A 20,436-nucleotide genomic window follows, 5' to 3' on the forward strand; every position below is an offset into this window, starting at 1 on the left:
TTTCTGGGTCAAGAATGAAGTTGCCTCCCTTTGGATGTCAGCGCCTTGTAGGACGAAGCTTCTACCTTGATTTGTGAGGCCTGTTTGTGTTCCTGGTGTTCATCATCAAAATCAGTGTTTTCAATACTCTTTTTAAAGTATTTTAGCCAGATACAGTGGCTCACTCCTGTAATCCCAGCACTTTGGGAGGCTGAGGTGGGTGGATCACCTGAGGTCAGCAGTTGGAAACCAGCCTGACCAACAAGGTGAAACCCCGTCTCTACTAAAAATACAAAAATTAGCCAGGCGTGGTGGCAGGTGCCTGTAATCCCAGCTACTCTGGAGCCTAAGACAGGAGAACTGCTGGAACCCAGGAGACGGAGGTTGCAGTGAGCCGAGATCGCACCACTGCACTCCAGCCTGGGTGACGGAGCAAGACGCCATCTTGAAAAAAAAAAAAAAAAAAGAAGAAGTATTTTATTGGATAAAGAACATGCTGTTGTATTACAGTGTAAACTACTGCTTGACTTTAATTTTTCCCAGTATTTTATTAATACTGTAGCATAAAACTAAGTATGCATTATGTTAACATATAAAACAATAGTCAACATTTGCCAATCAATTATCTAAAAGGTGCCAGATACAGGGTTAAATATTTTATGTATGTTGTGATATTTAGCTCTTAAAATATCCCTAGGAGGTTGGTACTGTTTTTATCCTATAGACTGGGGCTCCAAGGGGTTAAAAACTGTGCTTGAAGCAACCCTGATGGCGAGTGGTGGGGCTTAGCACAGTAATGCTGGGTCCTCTGGCCAGACCCCATGCTCTAGATGTAGGACCCGAGAGCCTTGAGGGTATGTGATGCTTGCTGTGAGATTCTGGGTAAGTAACTGCATACCCTTTACCTATCAAAGAAGAGGAAGAGGCTGGGCGTGGTGGCTCACGCTTGTATTCCCAGCACTTCGGGAGGCCGAGGTGGGTGGATTACAAGGTCAAGAGATCGAGACCATCCTGGCCAACATGATGAAACCCTGTCTCTACTAAAAATACAAAAAAAAAAAAAAAAATTAGTGGGGCGTGGTGGCGCATGCCTGTAGTCCCAGCTACCTGGGAGGCTGAGGCAGGAGAATTGCCTCAACCCAGGAGGCGGAAGTTGCAGTGAGCTAAGATCCCACCACTGCACTCCAGCCTGAGCGACAGAGTAAGACTCAGTCTCAAAAAAAAAAAAAAAAAAGGGAGAGGATGAGGCAGGAAGGCTAAGGTTCTTTTTGGGTCTATCTAAGCTGCGATTCTATTCTAAAGCCATTTCTGAACAGCCCTCTTTTCCAAAATCCAATGGACACAGCAGCCATCTTCAGCACTGAAGACAACACCTGGGGACTCTTTATGCAATGGCAAAATGGTATGTCCATCATTAAAGGGACAAAGCCAAAAAGCTTCATAAATGGACTAACATTTGTTGTCAAAGTTAAGCATTTAAAAAGAACACCTAGCCGGGCGCAGTGGCTCACGCCTGTAATCCCAACACTGAGAGGCCAAGGCGGGCAGATCACCTGAGGTCAGGAGTTCGAGACCAGCCTGGCCAACATGGTGAAACCCTGTCTCTACTAAAAATACAAAAATTAGCCAGGCATGGTAGCAGGCACCTGTAATCCCAGCTACTCGAGAGGCTGAGGCAGGAGAATCATTTGAACCTGGGAGGTGGAGCTTGCAGTGAGCTGAGATCACATCATTGCACTCCAGCCTGGGTGACAGAGGGAGACTGCGTCTCAATAAAATAAAAATAAAAATAAATAAATAAATAAATAAAAAGAACACCCTTTTGGTCAAAAGTCTTGATTTTTAGTAGCTATTACTATGGTGCATAGATCATTTGCTGAGGAAAGATTGCTTTTCAGAACTATATCTTTAAATTCATTTTCTTACATGTGCATACTAAGGGTGTGTGTTTCTAAGTACCTTGACACATGTTTCTTGTAAGATGATTGCTACATATTCCAAATTTAAGAAGAATCTTCACTGCCTTCTCTAGTTCTCCAACAACATCTTAAGAAATTCTAGATGTAAAGGAAATTTGATCTTTAATTTTACCTGGCATTGGCATTTTATGGGCTGCTGAAATAAAGGAATGGTGTAATTTATCTTAGGTTGGTTGATGATATAAGAGCAGAATCATACAATTTGTAATTTTAAATGGACTTAATTTAAAAATAACATTGGATCTATGAATATAGAATTTTCATTCATCTCAAAGAATTGTAACAAGATTATAGAAGGGTTTATATATTATATATAGTGTTAATACATTACATCTTTATATATTATATATGTTGTATATAATATAGATATAGATGGAGATAGATGTGGATATAGATGTAGATTCATTACTATTATTGAAATAATACCCAAACAAAGGACATTTAAAATCATTAATAAAAGCAAATGCGTTTCATTTAGCCACAAACTATACCTTGAAAGATGAATTTGGGCTGGGTGCAGTGGCTCATGCTTGTAATCCCAGCACCTTGGAAGGCTGAGGCGGGAGGATTGCTTGAGCTCAGAGGTTTGAGACCAGCTTGGACAACATGGAGAAACCCTGTCTCTACAAAAAATACAAAAATTAGCTGGGTATGGTGGTGCACGCCTGTAGTCCCAGCTACTTGGGAAGCTGAAGTGGGAAGATGGTTTGAGCCCAGGAGGTGGAGTTTGCAGTGGGCAGAGATCAGGCCACTGCACTCCAGCCTGAGTGACAGAGCAAGACCCTGTCTCAAAAAAAAAAAAAATAGATGAATTTGATTTATGTTTTGAATAAGATATGGTCAGTTGAACTTAGTACATTATTACATGGAAGCACTGGGGATGTGACCTAGGGATGCTTTACAACATTTCTATGGAGAGTAACACATTTTGCTGTTTCAAACCAGGACAGAAGCACACCTGTGCCTTAAAGGCACTGAGAGCTCTGGAGGCAATGGGTAAACTTTCCAGCCAGGGAAGCCTTTGATGAGACATCAACCCACATACCTTCCCTTTTCTGCCTCCTTCTGTTATTTTTTTCCTCTTCACATTGGCTTCTGCTTTGTCCATCATCCAGGATAAAGAAAAATAAAAGGAAGAGAAGTGGGGAAAGGGGAAAGTTGAATTGCAAGAAGCACTGAGAACTTGTTTTTTCTCAGAGGTAAGGTCAAGGACCAGGAAAGTAGGGAAGAGTTGAAAAGGAAGAGATGAAATGGTATTGAGGAGGAAGGACAGGAGACAAGCAGAGGAAGGTATCTAATCATTACACATTTCATATTAAACATTTTACATTTTCTATTAAAGTTTCTCTCACACCCCATTGCATGGTGTGTTCTTGTCCTGGGGGATGTCCATTTCAGTCACAGATGGTAGGAACACATTCGGTACTGCCTGAATGAAATGTTATCTTGGAAATGGTATCCCTCTGAAGAAAGGTATAGCCTCTTCTTAGCCCTTTCCTGGCAGTCTGAAGGAGTGATTTCTGCTTTATAAGTTGTATTAGTCCATTCTCATGCTTCTAATAAAGACATATCCAAAGCTGGATAATTTATAAAGGAAAGAGGTTTAATTGACTCACAGTTGCACATGGCTGGGAAAGCCTCAGAATCATGGCAGAAGGCGAAGGGGAAGCAAGACATATCTTACATGGCAGCAGGCAAGAGAGCATGTGCAGGGGAACTCCCCTTTATAAAACCATTAGGTCTTGTGAGACTTATTCACTCTCATGAGAACAGCACAGGAAAGACCTGTCCCATGATTCAATTACCTCCCATTGGGTCCCTTCCAAGATGAGACTTGGGTGGGGACACAGCCAAGCCATATCATTCTGCCCCAGCCCCTCCCAAATCTCATGTCCTCACATTTCAAAACTAATCATGCCTTCCCAACAGTCCCCCAAAATGTTAACTCATTCCAGCATTAACTCAAAAATCCACAGTCCAAAGTCTCATCTGAGACAAGGCAAGACCCTTCTGCCTATGAGCCTGTAAAATCAAAAGCAAGTTGGTTACTTCCCAGATACAATGGGATACAGCCATTGGGTAAATATACCCACTCCAAATGGGAGAAATTGGCCACAGCAAAGGGACTACAGGCCCCATGAAAGTCCGAAATCCAGCGGGGCAGTTGGCTGGATCTTACAGCTCCGAAACTATCTCCTTTGACTCCATGTCTCACATGCAGGTCACACTGATGTAAGAAGTGGGTTCCCATGGTCTTGGGAAGCTCTGGCTCTGTGGCTTTGCAGGGTATAGTCCCTGCTCCTGGCTGCTTTTAAGGGCTGGCATTGAGTGTCTGCGGCTTTTCCAGGCGCATGGTGCAAGCTGTTGGTGGATCTACCATTCTGGGGTCTGGAGGATGGTGGCCCTCTTCTCACAGTTCCACTAGGCAGTGCCCCAGTGAAGACTGTGAGTAGGGGCTCCCACCCCACATTTCCCTGTACTGCCCTAACATGAGGGCTCTATGCCTGCAGCAAATTTCTGCCTAGACATCCAAGCATTTCCCTACATCCTCTGAAATCTAGGTGGAGGTTCCTAAACCTGAATTCTTGACTTCTGTGTGTCCACAAGCCCAACACCATGTGGAAGCCACCAAGGCCTGGGGCTTGCACCCTCTGAAGCAATGACCTGAGCTGTAATTGGCCCCTTTTAGCCATGGCTGGGACACAGGGCACCAAGTTCCAAGACCGCACAAAGCAGCAAGGCCCTGGGCCTGGCCCATGAAACCATTTTTTTCCTCCTAGGCCTCCAGGCCTGTGATGGGAGGGGCTACCATGAAGACCTCTGACATGTCCTGGGGACGTTTTCCTCATTGTCTTGGTGATTAACATTTGGCTTCTCATTACTTATGCAAATGTCTGCAGCTGGCTTGAATTTCTCCTCAGAAAATGGGTTTTTCTTTTCTATCGCATTGTTAGGCTGCAAATTTTCTGAGCTTTTATGGCCTGCTTCCTCTTGAACACTTTGCTGCTTAGATTTCTTCCACCACATGCCCTAAATCATCTCTCTCAAGTTCAAAGTTCTACACACCTCTAGGGCAGAGGCAAAATGCGGCCAGTCTCTTTGCATAGCAAGAGTGACATTTACTCCAGTTCCCAAGTTCCTCATCTTTATCTGAGACCACCTCAGCCTGAACTTTATTGTCCATATCACTATCAGCATTTTGGTCAAAGCCATTCAACAAGTCTCTAGGAAGTTCCAAATTTTCCCACATTTTCCTATCTTCTTCTGAGCCCTCCAAATTGTTCCAACCCCTGCCTGTTACCCAATTCCAAAATCACTTCCACATTTTCAGGTATCTTTATAGCAGTGCCCCATTACACAGTACCAATTTACTGTATTAGTCCATTTTCATACTGCTATGAAGAAATATCCAAGACTGGGTAATTTATAAAGAAAAATAGGTTTAATGGACTCAAAGTTTCACATGGCTGGAGAGACCTCACAATCATGACAGAAGTCAAAGGAAGAGCAAAGTCACAGCTTACATGGCGGCAGGCAAGAGAGCGTGTGCAGGGGAACTGCCCTTTATAAAACCATCAGATCTCATGAGACTTACTCATTATCATGAACAGCATGGGAAAAACCTGCCCCATGATTCAATTACTTCCCACCAGGTCCTTCTCACAACACATGGGAATTATGGGAGCTACAATTCAAGATGAGATTTGGGTAGGGACACAGCCAAACCATATCAGAAGTTCAAACTCTCCTAGCCTCATCAGACTACTATCATAAAGATTTTTAGTATTTACCTGATTACTGTTATGAGTCCACTACCTCTTACCTAGACAACTAGACAGATGAAAATGTTAGCTGAAATTATGAGAGACTTTTAAAGTCCATTTCCTCCCCCTCAAATACTATGGTAAGTTGACGGGTGATATTATAGCAATGAGTCCAAAGATCAAATAGTCAAGTGAAAACAGAATAGTAAAATTGTTTTGTTCAGATCTGCATAGGCAAGGTGATCTTTAGAGCTATATATTTCCACTGTTATTTTTGAGAGTTCTATAAAACAAACCATCAGGATGACTTGACTGCAGTCACAGAGTTTAGATTTTTAGATGACAAAGCTTATGCAAAGCAGTGTGCCCAAATGGTTATTTGTGGCCAGAGAAAACACTCTTCATAAGGAACCATTGATAGTGAACCTTTCAATCTCACTGAAGCCCTTACCACATCCTTTTGGCCTGCCTTTATTGCAGAGGTTATTTCCCTTTCCACATCTTGATAGACTTAGAAACTGCCCCAGGGCCACCATTATTTCAAAGGAGCAATTTCTCTTCCATCTTGCCTGTGATTTCTCTTTGCTCTGGGCTCTAGATTTTGAAAACATGTGGATGCAGTGACTTCAGTCTGATACCCTATCTGGGGTATGTAATGTGTTTTCTGCTAATTCCCTCAGTTCCATCAGGGATATTTCTTTGCCAGAATTATTTGGCAAGAATCTGCTGAAGAATTACTTTCAGCTTTATTTGTGGTTACTAGATTAAATTGGAATTTCCTGCATCTCTCTGTGATTCAAAGATTCTATGGAGGGGCTAAGGCCCAGGCTGTAAGGCGTGTTTGTGCCAGTAAACAAAGAAGTCCAGGCTGGGCCGGGTGTGGTGGCTGATGCCTGTAATCCCAGCACTTTGGGAGGCTGAGGCAGGCAGATTACGAGGTCCAGAGATCGAGACCATCCTGGCTAACATGGTGAAATCCCCTCTCTACTAAAAATACAAAAAAAAAAAAAAAATTAGCTAGGCGTGGTGGTGGGCACCTGTAGTCCCAGCTACTTGGGAGGCTGAGGCAGGAGAATGGCGGGATCACGGGAGGCAGAGCTTGCAGTGAGCCGAGATCGCACCACTGCACTCCAGCCTGAGTGACAGAGTGAGATTCTGTCTCAAAAAAAAAAAAAAAAAAAGTACAGTCCGGGTGCGGTGGCTCACACCTGTAATCTCAGCACTTTAGGAGGCTGAGGTGGGCAGATCACTTGAGGTCAGGAGTTAGAGACCAGACTGACCAACATAGTGAAACCCCGTCTCTACTAAAAATACAAAAATTATCCAGATGTCATGGTGGGCACATGTAATCCTACCTGCTCAGGAGGCTGAGGCACGAGAATCACTTGAACCTCTGATGTGGAGGTTGCGGTGAGCTAAGATCACACCACTGCACTCCATCCTGGGCAACAGAGCGAGACCCTATCTCAAAAAAAAAAAAAAAAATTAAGATGTCCAGGCAGGTGCAGTGGCTCACACCTATAATCCCAGCACTTTAGGAGACCGAGGTGAGAGGATTGCTTGAGGACAGGAGTTTGAGACCAGCCTGAACAAGATGGCAAGACCCCCCATCTCTACAAATAATTTAAAAAATTAGCCAGGCATGGTGGTGCGTGCCTGTGGACCCAGCTACTTGGGAGGCTGAGGTGGGAGAATCACTTGAGCCCAGGCCATTGAGGCTGCAGTGAGCTGTGATCATGCCACTGCACTCCAGCCTAGGCAACAGAACAAGACCATGTCTCAAAATAAATCATAAGCCTGGATGCAGCACAGGGTCAGATGCTCAGGGCCCAGGGCTTCAATGCATCCTCCAGTGTGTGATGGACAATTGTGATCAAGCACTGATTCAGTGAAAAGAGCCAAGGCATGGACGTGTGTGCCGCCCTCTCTGGGCTCACACTTAGAGAAGCATCTCATAGGAGAGAGAGTGAAGCCAGTGTCATAAGAGCAGTGCCAACCCAGTGCTTTGGGCATGTGGAGAGATTCATTCTGGCTGAGGAATCTGGAAGGGAGTTATGGGGGGAATGGAATTGACCTGGGCGTGCAAGGATGAAGAAGACTTAGGTGGGCACTAAGGGACAGCTCATGTGAAGGATTCAGATGGGCTGACCAACTTGTCGCTGTTTGCCTGAGACTTTCTTGGTTTTAGCAGTGAAAGCTCCTGTCCTAGTGATGTAGGCACACCCCAAAATTGGGGCTTAGCCCAGGAGGGTTCTCAGTTTTGTACAGGAAAGAATTTGAGAGCAAGACAACAGAGTAAAATGGCTGCTCCAGAGACAGAGCTGGGCTACCCATAGGCAGAGTGTCCCTTGTGGATTGCTGACTAGCTACATTTACAGCTACTCCTTAATTATACACTAAAGAAGGGGTGTGATATTCATGAATTTTCCAAAAAAGGGGTGTGGAGTTCCTGGAACCAAGGGTTCTTCCAACCATATAAGGTAACTTCTGGGCATTGCCATGGCATTTGGAAACTGTCATGGCTCTGGTAGGAGTGTCTTTTAGCATGCTAATGAATTGTAATTGTGTATAATGAGCAGTAAGATCAACTAGAGGTGCTTTTCTTTGCCATCTTGATTTTAGCTGGTTTTGGCTTGTTTCTTTACTGCATCCTGTTTTGATCAGTGAGATCCTGACTGATGCACAGAAAACAAGTCCTACTTCTCCCCTACCTCAGTCCCAGGGAAAGTAGGATGGTTGGTCATTCTAGGCAAAAATACTGTACGACCCTGGTATCCAGTGCCCAGCTAGCAGCTCTCTCTACCTTTGGCAGGGATGGTAGGGGGTGTTTTGTTTTTGTTTTTTTTGACAGGGTTTCACTCTGTCACCCAGGCTGGAGGGCAGTGGTGCCATCATGGCTCACTACAACCTCTGCTTCCTGGGCCCAGGTGATCCTCCCACCTCAACCTCCCAAGTAGTTGGGATTACAGGCATGCAAACTATGCCTGGCTAATTTTTGTATTTTTAGTAGAGATGGAGTTTTGAGCTCAAGTGATCCACCTGCCACGAGCTCTCAAAGTGCTGGGATTACAGGTGTGAGCCACTGTGCCTGGCCAGGAAGCATTTTTTTTTTTTTTTGACACTCCAGAGGGCAGCTTTTAAACTAATTTTTGGAAAGCAACTAATTCCAACTTAGCTGTATAGCCTATGATACCTCGAAATTTCCCATTTACTGGGAATATAGTGTGAATAATGGCTTAAGGCTCTAGAAGTTCTCCATATGTTTGGGTGGGATTTTGTTCTGCGTGTCCCTTAATGCACTGTCTTGTCTGAGTGGCCACAAAACTTGACTATTCCATAAAAGTCTGAGTCCCACAGAGAGAGTTTTTCTGTGATTGTGACCATCTTTTCTGTGCTTCAGTTTCTCTTTCTGCAGGAAGAAAACTTTTCCTATAATGGATTTCTAACATATTTTTAATGAAGACGTGCCTAGACTCTGTGGCTTTGGAAACTCAAGATATAATTAAAGGTATGAAATGTAAGGAAATGCCCTAATCTTTATACAGCATTTACTCTAAGTTTTTACTGTATTTTGTTCATCCTTTTACTTGTTAAAAATATGCATATTGAGGCTGAGTGCAGCGGCTCATGCCTGTAATCCCAGTACTTTGGGAGGCCGAGGCAGGCGGATCACCTGAGGTCAAGAGATCGAGACCAGCCTGGCCAAGATGGTGAAATCCTGTCTCTACTAAAAATACAAAAATTAGCTGGCCGTGGTGGCGTGTGCCTATAATCCTAGCTACTTGGGAGGCTGAGGCAGAAAAGTTGCTTGATCCCGGGAGGTGGAGGTTGCAGTGAGCCGAGATCACGCCACTGCACTCCAGCCTAGGCAACAGACGGTGACTCCATCTCAAAAAAAAAAAAAAAAAAAAATATATATATATATATATATATATATCTTATTTATTGATGTCTTGTTCCCGAAAAGACCATGGATGGAATGGCCCTGCTAGAGATTTCATGATCTAAATTGCTATTACAAAATTTAACAATCAAGTCCTATTAAGTATTCACTTGCAATAATAAAATTATCTCTCCTCTACAAAAGATTCACTGAGTAGGCCAGGCACAGTGGCTCATGCCTGTACCCAGCACTTCGGGAGGCCGAGGTGGGTGGATCACCTGAGGTCAGGAGTTCGAGACCAACCTGGCCAACATGGTGAAACCCCGTCTCTATTAAAAACACAAAAATTAGCCGGGTGTGGTGGCACATGCCTGTAATCCCAGCTACTCAGGAGGCTGAGGCAGGAGAATCACTTGATCCCAGGAGGTGGAGGTTGCAGTGAGCTGAGATTGCACCATTGCACTCCAGCCTGGGCGACAGAGCGACAGAGCGAGACTCCATCTCAAAAAAACAAAAAACAAAACTTCCTTTCCAACTTAGACCCGGCAGAATGTCTCCCGCAAAGAAGGGTGGCGAGAAGAAAAAGGGCCCTTCTGCCATCAACGAGGTGGTGACCCAAGAACATACCATCAACATTCACAAGCGCATCCATGGAGAGGGCTTCAAGAAGCGTGCTCCTCGGGCACTCAAAGAGATTCGGAAATTTGCCATGAAGGAGATGGGAACTCCAGATGTACGCATTGATACCAGGCTCAACAAAGCTGTCTGGGCCAAAGGAATAAGGAATGTCCTATAGGGAATCCATGTGCGGTTGTCCAGAAAACGTAATGAGGGTGAAGATTCACCAAATAAGCTCTATACTTTGGTTACCTATGTACCTGTTACCACTTTCAAAAATCTACAGACAGTCAATGTGGACAAGAACTAATCTCTGATCATCAAATACATCAAATAAAGTTATAAAATAGCAAAAAAAAAAAAAAGATTCACTGAGTAGTGGGAATTAGCAATGATTGATATGTTTACATCTTTGCCACAGTTAATGAGCACATTTTATCTTGAAACACAGCTTTTTAAACTTGTGTTTATGTCCCTCCTACTCCAAGTACCCTGGCAGATTTAATTTGGGCTGAGATTGAACTCCCCTCAGTTGGAATCTGTGGTTACTAACCACAATTAAATTCCTAAAGAAATGGAGATTCCCACTAGAAGTATCTGTCTAAATTATTCTCTCCCCAGTGACCATTGTCGAGACTAGGTTTAGACAAACTAAACATGGCTTCAAATCAACTCCAGCTCTAGAGACAAGAAACACTGGATCTTTGACCAACATACCCAGGAATATCCTGGATAGGAGTGCTGTCAGCCTCATGCTTGTTTCATTATGGTGGCAAAATTGTCACCACAGTTCCAGATATCACATCTAGGTTAAAGTTTCCTACTTTATTTATTTATTTTTGAGACAGGGTCTCATTCTGTCACGTAGGCTGGAGTGCACTGGTCAATCATGGCTCATCGCATCCTCGACCTCCCAGGCTCAGGCAATCCTCCCACCTCAGCCTCCTGAGTGGCTGGGACTACAGGCATGCACCATCACACCTGGCTAATTTAAAAAAAAAATTATTTTTATTTTTATTTATTTATTATTTTATTTATTTTTTGAGACAGGGTTTCACTACTTTGCCCAGGCCGATCTCAAACTCCTGGACTCAAGTGATCTACCCTCCTTAGCCTCTCTAAGTGCTGGGATTACAGTCTTGAGCCACCACACCTGGCCGTTTTCTACTTTATTTAGGAAACACTCTTCTTTCCCAAAATCCCTCTTGCAGACTTTCCTTGACATCTCATTGTCAGAACTGGGTCACATGGGTCACTCCCAGGTACAAATAGGGCTGAGAAAGTATCTGACTTTCTATTCTGTATTGTAGGAGTCAACAAACTGTAACTACCAAGATAATAGATAACTTTGGCATTGCAGGCCTTTTGGTCTCTGTTACAACTAATCTCTGACATTATGGTGCAAAAGCAGCCATGGATAACATATAAATGAACAAATGTGACTGTATTCCAATAAAATTTCATTTAGGGATGCTGAATTTTGAATTTCATATGATTTTCATAAAATACTCTTCTTCTTTTGATCTCTCTTCAACCATTTAAAAATATGAAAACCATTCTTAGGTCACAGCTATACAAAAGTTAGCAGCCTACTGGATTTGGGCCATGGTGTGCCAGCCCTGACCCCATGTGTGAGAGGAGTGTAGGAATGGCTTTGGGAGGTCCATCCACAGTACTGCCGCATACAGCCTCTGTGCCTTGAATGTGGGATATTGGAAAGTGATGACAAGCTCAATCTATCAGACCCACTTTAATTTTCCTGAGAGCCACAAGAAAAGCCTGCTTCTAAATTATATTCTTTATCATGAGCAAATTAAAGTTTACCAAATACCTTTAACACTGAAAATCTGTATTCCTGGGCCAAGAGGCCTAATGTATTTTACATATTTTGTTTTAAGTTGTCTTATAGTGCTTGCAAAATGGTCAGATCTGACCTGAGAAAACTCTAGAATACAGTCTAGTACTGTAACCAGAAAATTGGCACTGTAACATAGACATTTGCATAATTGTTCAAAGGTCTGTTTGCATAAGCTTTATGAAAATTCAGAGATGAAAATACCCTAGATATATTTATTCAGAGACAGGGTCCCACAGTGTTGCCCAGGCTGGAGTACAGTGGCATGATCATAGCTCACTGAAACCTTGAACCCCTGGGCTCGAGAAATCCTCCTGCTTCAGCCTCTGGAGTAGGTGAGGCTACAGACACATACCACCACACCTGCCTACTTTTTAAAAATTTTTGTAGAGACAGGGTCTGGCTATGTGGCTCAAGCTGGTCTCAAACTCCTGGCCTCGAGCAATCTTCCCTTCTTGGCTTCCCTAAGGACTGGGATTACAGGTGTGAATCACCACACCTGGGCCTAAATACTATTTAAAACAGGTGAGTGATATATTAGATATGTTGATCTATGATTATTCTTTTTGAAAATATCTTTAAAATGTTACCTGTTCATTTACTTAGAAACGTGTTGTTTTTGAACTTGACAGTTAATTTTATAATTATAATGTGTGTATGTATAGATGTATAAGTATATATAAACCTATATTATATATAAGCTATATATGCATATATAATTATAATAAAATAATATAACATTATAAATATACTAATATGTATATATGCTTAATAGTCAGGACACTCTCCTCCTTAAAAAAAAAATTGAGTTACATGCTGAAAAGTCTAGGGATTTAGGCACAGATCCAGATACTCAAATGCTATCATCAGGGCTGGGTGCGGTGGCTCACACCTGTAATGCCAGCACTTTGGGAGGCTGAGGCAGGCGGATCACCTGAGGTCAGGAGTTCGAGACCAGTCTGGTCAAAATGGTGAAACCTGGTCGCTACTAAAAATACAAAAAATTAGCCAAGTGTAGTGGCACACACCTGTAATCTCAGCTACTTGGGAGGCTGAGGCAGGAGAATCGCTTGAACCCAGGAGGCAGAGGTTGCAGTGAGCTGAGATCATGCCATTGCACTCCAGCCTGGGTGATGAGCAAAACTCAGTCTCCAAAAAACCAAAAATAAAAAAAAAACAAATGCTATCATCAGAATGCAGTCTTGCACCGTCTCTCCTCTCCTGTCTCCACTGTGTGGACTTCACTCTTAGACTCCTTTTATGGTGGTAAGATAGCTACCAGCAGCTGCAGGCACACATCCCACCGGGTCAGCATTCTCTGGGGAAGAATAGCTTTTATTTTCCCTAGGACTGGGTCTCATTAAACTGACTTATCCATCTATGAACCATCAGTACGGTCAAGAGGTTGGAATATGCTGATTGCCCTGGTCTATGTTGTGCAGTTCAGTGTGCTCTCAAGAGCTAGGGGTACGATGCAGATGGCTGGTTTGTCTGAACCATGTAGACTGAGTATAGAAAATAAGGGGTTCCCCGGCCGGGCGCGGTGGCTCATGCCTGCAATCCTAGCACTTTGGGAGGCCGAGGTGGGCGGATCACAAGGTCAGGAGATCGAGACCATCCTGGCTAACACGGTGAAACCCCGTCTCTACCAACAATACAAAAAATTAGCCGGGCGTGGTGGTGGGCACTTGCAGTCCCAGCTACTCTGGAGGTTGAGGCAGGAGAATGGCGTGAACCCGGGAGGCGGAGCTTGCAGTGAGCTGAGACTGCGCCAGTGCACTCCAGCCTGGGCGACAGAGCGAGACCCCGTCTCAAAAAAAAAAAAAAAAAAAAGAAAAAGAAAATAAGGGGTTCCCCAAAGGAAAATCAGGGTGAAACGATTCTGGAAAAACAAAACTGTCTGCTACAATAACATTTACATTTGACTTTTAGCAAAGGAGTCAGGAAGAGAATATGGAAACGGAGAGAAAATGAATGGGGAGGGAGAAAAACATGGGAATGTAAAGAACACATGTTTCAGTAAATTGGACAAGGTCAGTGCTTCATAATCTTGGCAATGTATCAGAAAAATCTAGGTAGTTAAAAAAAGAAAGGATTTCTGCACTGTATCCCAGACTGAGTGAATCAACATCTCTGAGAGTGGCATCTGGGATTGGTAAATATTTTAATCGCCCCAGGCAATCGAAATGCAGCTTATCCATAGACTCACTTTGGGAGCCATTGAACAGGGTTGCATGAAAGCACAGGCTCAGCTGCAAAACAACCTCAAATTACAGAGGCCTGACCAAGAAGCTGATTTCTTTCTTACCTAATAGTCTGGAGGCGAATGGTCCAGGATGGTGGGTGGCTCTGCTTCACGTGTTCATTTAGAGACCCAAGTCCTTTCCATCCTGCTGTTCACCAGCCCCTAGGGTGTTGTCTTTGTTGAGCTGAAGCTGGCTGCTACCACATCCACATTGCAGCCCACAGGGAAAACGGAAGGAAAGGACCAGAGAAGCACTGAGTTGTATGTTAAGGCCAAGGCTCAGAAGTGGCACACACCACTTCCACTTTCATTATATTGGCCTAAACTTAGCCACATGGCAGCAAGCTGCAAGAAATCTGGAAAGTGTAGTCTTTCTTTAACCTAAGACATAAAAATTTTTGCCTTGACTCTCTAAATACACACACACACACACACACACACACACACACACACACAGAGGTAGGTGGGCATATGCTGAGCTAAAATTAGACACCTAAAGTTAAACATTCATTACTTTCAGTTAAACATCATAAATTGAGTGCCTGCACTAATATTTATTCCTTCCCGAAACTCCGTAAATAAAGGAATAAAAATGGTCAAAAGTAAGAAAGTCCCAAAGAGAACAGGAGATGAGTAAGAGGAGAAAGTGATGTCAACACTATTTTGCAAAATGGAAAACAGAAGGACAAGTGGAAACTGACCTGGCAGAGCAGAACAGGCAGAAACTTAATGCCAGAGAGAATTGAAGGGGAAAGTCCGGTAAGGAGTAAGCTGATTCCCACTGCAGAACCTGGGAGAAGCTGAGCTATGGAAGGCACCACCTAACTGAAGGTTGAGGGTGGAGGGAAAATCCAGAGAGAGGAATGGGAAGTCCCTTGAAGTAGCAGTCAGGCTCTCAGATTTCCTGCCCTAGTTCCTGGAGCATAGTCACCCTCTACCTGGATAGGCACCGGAGCTTTGCTCTTGGAAATTTTAGGGAACCTCTGAGCTCTGGGACACCAGGCTCAACCAAGGGGATGGGGGTGGTGAAGTGCCCTTAAAGCAGATTCAGTGGAACTTCCTATTAGATGGTAAATTCCTTAGTCCCCTTCCCACACTAGGTTCCCATGATCCTAGGCAGCCACTTTTATATTCCTCCAATGGGAGACTGGTGAGTTCCTCTCTGGGGAAACTGACCAACAGAAGAGGGAAGACCTGCCAGGTTCCAATTTCTGTAGGTCCCCATCTGCCACACCATAGTGAAGCCCACCAACAGTCTTTTCACACAGAGCTGCCACTCAGCTTTTAGTGACAGTAATGGACATCCAGGAATCACCAGACATTTCAAGAAAGGCTTCAACAGGAGAGAATATACCAAACAAGGAACATGGGAGAGATGAAGATAGCAGGAGAAAACTTCAGAAAATGGTCATTGATATTTTTGGAAAGATAAAATTTTACAACAGTAAAACAAGAACAGAATGTAATGTAAAAAGGAACATTTATTAAAAAAAGAAAGTGACATAACTACATGGAGATGATGGGTGGAGGAGAAAAATAGGTGCAAGAATGCGAGGGAGTCAAATCCTCCTGTTGCATGGGAGAGTGCTAACAGATGAGGTCTAAAATTAAAAAGTGAAGAAGCAGCAGTTTAAGCATGCAATGTAGACATATAGAAAAAGCAAAAGGAGTTGAAAATTACTGACGCTGGAAGCAGGATTGGAAGGTGAGGCAGAAGACTGCTGGTTTTCATTATAAGCTAGGACTGTTTGATTGATTCATCCATGCCCATGATGATGTTAAAATATATTTTAATATTTTTATTGGTTTTAATATTGACATTTTATACTTTAAAATAACAAAAAATACTACTTCATATTTTAAAGACTATCTTCCAAGAAGATGTTGAGATATAAATGTAGTAGAAGCCTCTATATGACGTGATCAGTGTGAGATTACTGTCGAAGCACTAGGGCGAAAAGGCAATTTAAAGGAAACTTGGACTTAAGACCTGAGACATTTGAAAGAATCCTGGAACTTTCCTGGGGGAAAGTGGGAATTCCTATTTTAAGAAATCTGAGCAAACTGTTATAGGCCAAGCTGCCAAATGTCTGTAGAGGGTTGGCAGGTGTTGTAGAAACTGCAGATCCTCTGGTTTTTAAAATTTTGTTTATATACTTGAATAATAGGAAGTCAGTTTGTTTGGATAATATCTGGAAATGAGACTTTTCTTTTTAAGTTATAACAGAAATACTTTGCATAGCTTTAGTCAAACACTAGTAATTGACTCCTCAGAAAACCCCCTCCCATCCCCCCAGCTGGTGTCCCATTAAACGAGTTGGATACTTGCTTTCTCTGTCTTCCTCTCAGCCAAGAATGCCCATGTGACCTAGTTTTGGCCAATGAGATATAAGGGAGTCTGCTTAGGGGCTTCTAGATGTTTCCTCCTGCCTGATGGGAGGTTAGTGCACAAGGAGAAAGATTCTGCATCCTGCTTTTGAACAGTGTGATGATATCATTTTGGAGCTGTCTGTGGTCATCTTAGCAAACCATGAGGGCAATTCCAAAGGAGTTATGAAGACAACAGTCCAAAACCCTGGCATCGATATATCCCAAACAAACACCAGTAACTAACTTAGGTGTCCCTGTTATGCAAGAGCAATATAGCCAAGATCAATCTGGTTTTCTGATGTTTGCAACCAAAAGCATCCCTACTCTCACCATTGGTCCGAATATGCCATTGGGTTATTTTTACAAATGATATCGTGGTCTCAGTGATTAGGCAGTATTGAGTGAAGGGAGGTAAAATGATTTACTCACATCAATGTGATCATTCCATTCAATTCATACTTTTGTAAGACAGTTTATAATGGAGCCCCTGAAGAGGTGTGCCTTGACACACAGATGTTGCAAGTGCGATGAATTTTTGACCCCTCAATCCTGGGGGTTAGCAAGAGAGGACTGGAGTAGCAGGAGTCTCTAGGGCTACCAGAGTCCCAGAGCAGTGAAAACTCCCTCTGGGCCTCTTTACCTGTTTACCCAAATCACTGTGCAAATCTAATCCTTTCCTCACAGTGCTGTCAAGTCAAATATGCCAGGAAGCCATACTCTGGGATTTACTTATGGCATTTATGTGCATTCTCTCTCTCTTGGTTTTCACAGAAGCATTCTGAAGTTATTATTAATCTCATCTTCCAAATGCAGAAATTGAGATTTAAATCTCAGCGCCCCAATCCGTACAGCCATTTGGTAGCAGAGTCAGAATTTGGAACTAGGGCTCCAGACTCACTCTCCTGCTGCAGAGAATAAGCATCCTTATTATTCCCAGCTCCCCATTCTCATTATACACTTTCCTCTGAGCGTACCTGACAATGGTCGACTTTCATTGCTGAGAGGGGGTGGCGGGAGGAGGAAGCGAATGGGGTGATGTGATGTAAGCCAGGAGAACGAGGGTGGCTCAGCCAACTCAAATCTCTTTGTTCATGGTTTGTGAAGATGTGACAAGACCAGAGAAGCCAGAACAGAAGATAGAGGCCACATTGTTCTGCTGGCCTGGGGCCGAATGTACTTCCTCACCATGTGTTTCTTTAGCCTCCTGAACTTTGCTCGATGGCATTGTACTGGCCACTGTGCCAGCTGCTCAGGGTGGGAAAAAGAAGGAAGAGTTTGCGTGGGAGCAATCTGGGCTATGTCCCAGCATATGTGGCATTTCTGCTTGTTTCTTTAACTTCCAGAGCTGTTTGTCTGAGACTTTCAGCCCTGGGGCTACTACTGGTCAGAATGTTTTATTTCCACTTGTGAACCAGGATGGTGGGGATCTGGAAGAGAACTAGAGGCATCTGGGGACCAGAGGGTTAGTCCAGCCTTCTCCAGGATGAATCCATTTCCCCAAATCACAAAACCAGTTAGTGACAGAGGCAAGAAAGGGACGAAATTCTCCCCCAAGTTAGTAGAGCTGGCTCAGGGAGAGTCCAGTTTGGAAGCCGCTTCCTGGATGTGTGACCCTGGCCAAGAAACTTCTCTCCAAGCTGGAGGTTCTCCATCTGTAAAGTAGGGATTATAAAAGTGCCTTTTCTGTAGGAATGAAAGAAGTAGTTGAGGTTATTCATGTAAATAGCAAACTCTACTGCCTGAGCACACAGGATGTGCTGAAATGTTTGGTTTCTATTATTACTGATTCCTAGACAGCTTCTCTCTGTTCAGTTTTGCAGCTCTTTAGTGTGCTAATAGCTAACTGTGAGGATCACAACAGAAAGTGTTCCATTCATCAAAACACACTTAGAGCTGGGCTAAGTAACTCATATCTGTAATCCCAGCGCTTTGGGAGGCTGGGACTATAGGTGTGAGCTACTCAGCCCAGGTCTAAGGAGTTCAAGACAGTCTGTACTAAAAATACAAAAATTAGCCTGGCATGGTGGTGTGCGCCTGCAATCCCAGCTACTCAGGAAGCTGAGGCAGGAGAACCACTTGAACCCAGGAGGTGGAGGTTGCAGTGAGCCGAGATCGTGCCACCGCACTCCAGCCTGGGTGACAGAGTGAGACTCTGTCTCAAAAAAAAAAAAAAAAAAAAAGAAAAAGAAGTAGAAAAAGAAAAAGACCAGCCTGGGCAACATAGACTCTATCTCTGTAAAAAATTGCCAGGCATGTGTGTGTGTGTGTGTCTGTGGTTCCAGCTACTCATGAGGCTGAGGCAGGAGGATCACTTGAGCCCAGATGCCTGAGGCTGCAGGGAGCTGTGACCATACCTCTGCACTCCAGCCTGGGTCACAGAGTGAGATCCTGTCTTAAAACAAACAAAAAACCAAAATCAAAACCAAAAAAACCCCCTCACTTTACTGTATGTAAGTTATAACTTAATAAAATTGAATTTGGTTTTATGTTGAAGTATTTATTCTATCACAAACCATCAAGCCTCATTAAAAACATGTAACGCTGTCATTTCAGCAGATCCTTACACAATTATAGCTGCAACTGAAACCATGACAGCAAAAGGTATCAGTTTAGAGGGAACTGAATTTTTTAAAGTGTTTTAACATTAGTCTAAGTGTAGGTGTAATGGATGTCAACTTGAGTGCAGTTATAGATATTTGCCCAGAGTATTGCTTAAGTCTTCTAAAAATCTCAGTATCCAATTTAAAAAATGTGCCTTGTGGTTAAACAATGATTGTTTGGGGGGCTTTAAGGAAATTGCTTATTTTTCCCTTGCAGCTTATATGCTTTTCCTTGCCCAAAGATTTGAACAGTTTTTAATGAACTCCAGACTTTATTTCTCTAAAGCTTTGTAAAGTCAGAATACATTTTCCTGCTTTCCCCTTCACCCAAGCAGAGGTGACCTGGCTCCTCGGGAACCTGGTGTCAATGGTGGCTCTCTCATGGTGGCATCAAGATCTACCCTACATTATAATGATGTGTGAACATGTCTTATTTTCTCTTCTGGATTTTTAGCTTTTTGAAGTCAGGGGCTGTATCTAAATGATGTTCCTACTCCTAATGCTTCTGAATATCATGCTGAATGCAAGAAAAAAATCAGCCAATCATTACTGCTAACTGATAAAATAGAATTAAGAAGTGATGTATTGTTTCATAAAGAACCTGAATAAATAGGGGGAAAAATGAACAAAATACTGTTTCATTATTATTAATGGGTAGAAGCAGAAATTAGAAGTAATATGCTGTTTCAGAGGGGATGCTAGGTCCTTGGTTTAGTAAATAGACAATCTTCCATTAACATGACAATTATTTCCAAATTAATGCTTCTGACTGAACCTGGAATTAGGGCACCTGAACTGTAATCCCAGCTCTGTGATTAGCAAACTGTGGAAACTTGGCCACATCCCTTGGGCTTCTGAATATCAGTTTCCTCCTCTGCACAGTGAAGGGATTGAAGTCGTTATTACATCATCACCCAAGGTCCTTCCAGTTTTAGCATCTGCCAAGTGCCTCCTCTTGGTGTCATCTCAGTTCCTTGGACACAGGAGACCCTCAGGAAATGCCTGTGAGTTGACTGAGGGAGTTAGTTAAGCGGTTGGACTTTAACATTGTTTATTTTGCCAAATCTTTTTTATGGATAAATATAAAACTAAATCTCAGCCCAGCCCCTCTTTACATTAGCATAAATTCCAAATTGGCAGTTT

At 43.1% G+C, this 20,436-nt stretch overlaps 1 pseudogene, besides 2 other annotated features; it reads left to right on the forward strand.

Moving 5' to 3' along the window:
- On the forward strand, positions 10,129–10,574 carry RPL31P17 (ribosomal protein L31 pseudogene 17; annotated as a pseudogene).
- Positions 14,356–14,475: an enhancer, noted in NCBI's record as "active region_17169". NCBI's record gives its function as "activates an Ori minimal core promoter by ATAC-STARR-seq in GM12878 lymphoblastoid cells {active_cell/tissue: GM12878}" and the evidence as "EXISTENCE:reporter gene assay evidence [ECO:0000049][PMID:35858748]".
- Positions 17,789–18,083: a silencer, noted in NCBI's record as "tiled region #7025; K562 Repressive non-DNase unmatched - State 24:Quies". NCBI's record gives its function as "represses a minimal TATA promoter and a strong SV40 promoter by Sharpr-MPRA in K562 cells {active_cell/tissue: K562}" and the evidence as "EXISTENCE:reporter gene assay evidence [ECO:0000049][PMID:27701403]".

This window comes from Homo sapiens, chromosome 2 (genome assembly GCF_000001405.40).
Source record: "Homo sapiens chromosome 2, GRCh38.p14 Primary Assembly".
Lineage (NCBI taxonomy): Eukaryota > Metazoa > Chordata > Mammalia > Primates > Hominidae > Homo > Homo sapiens.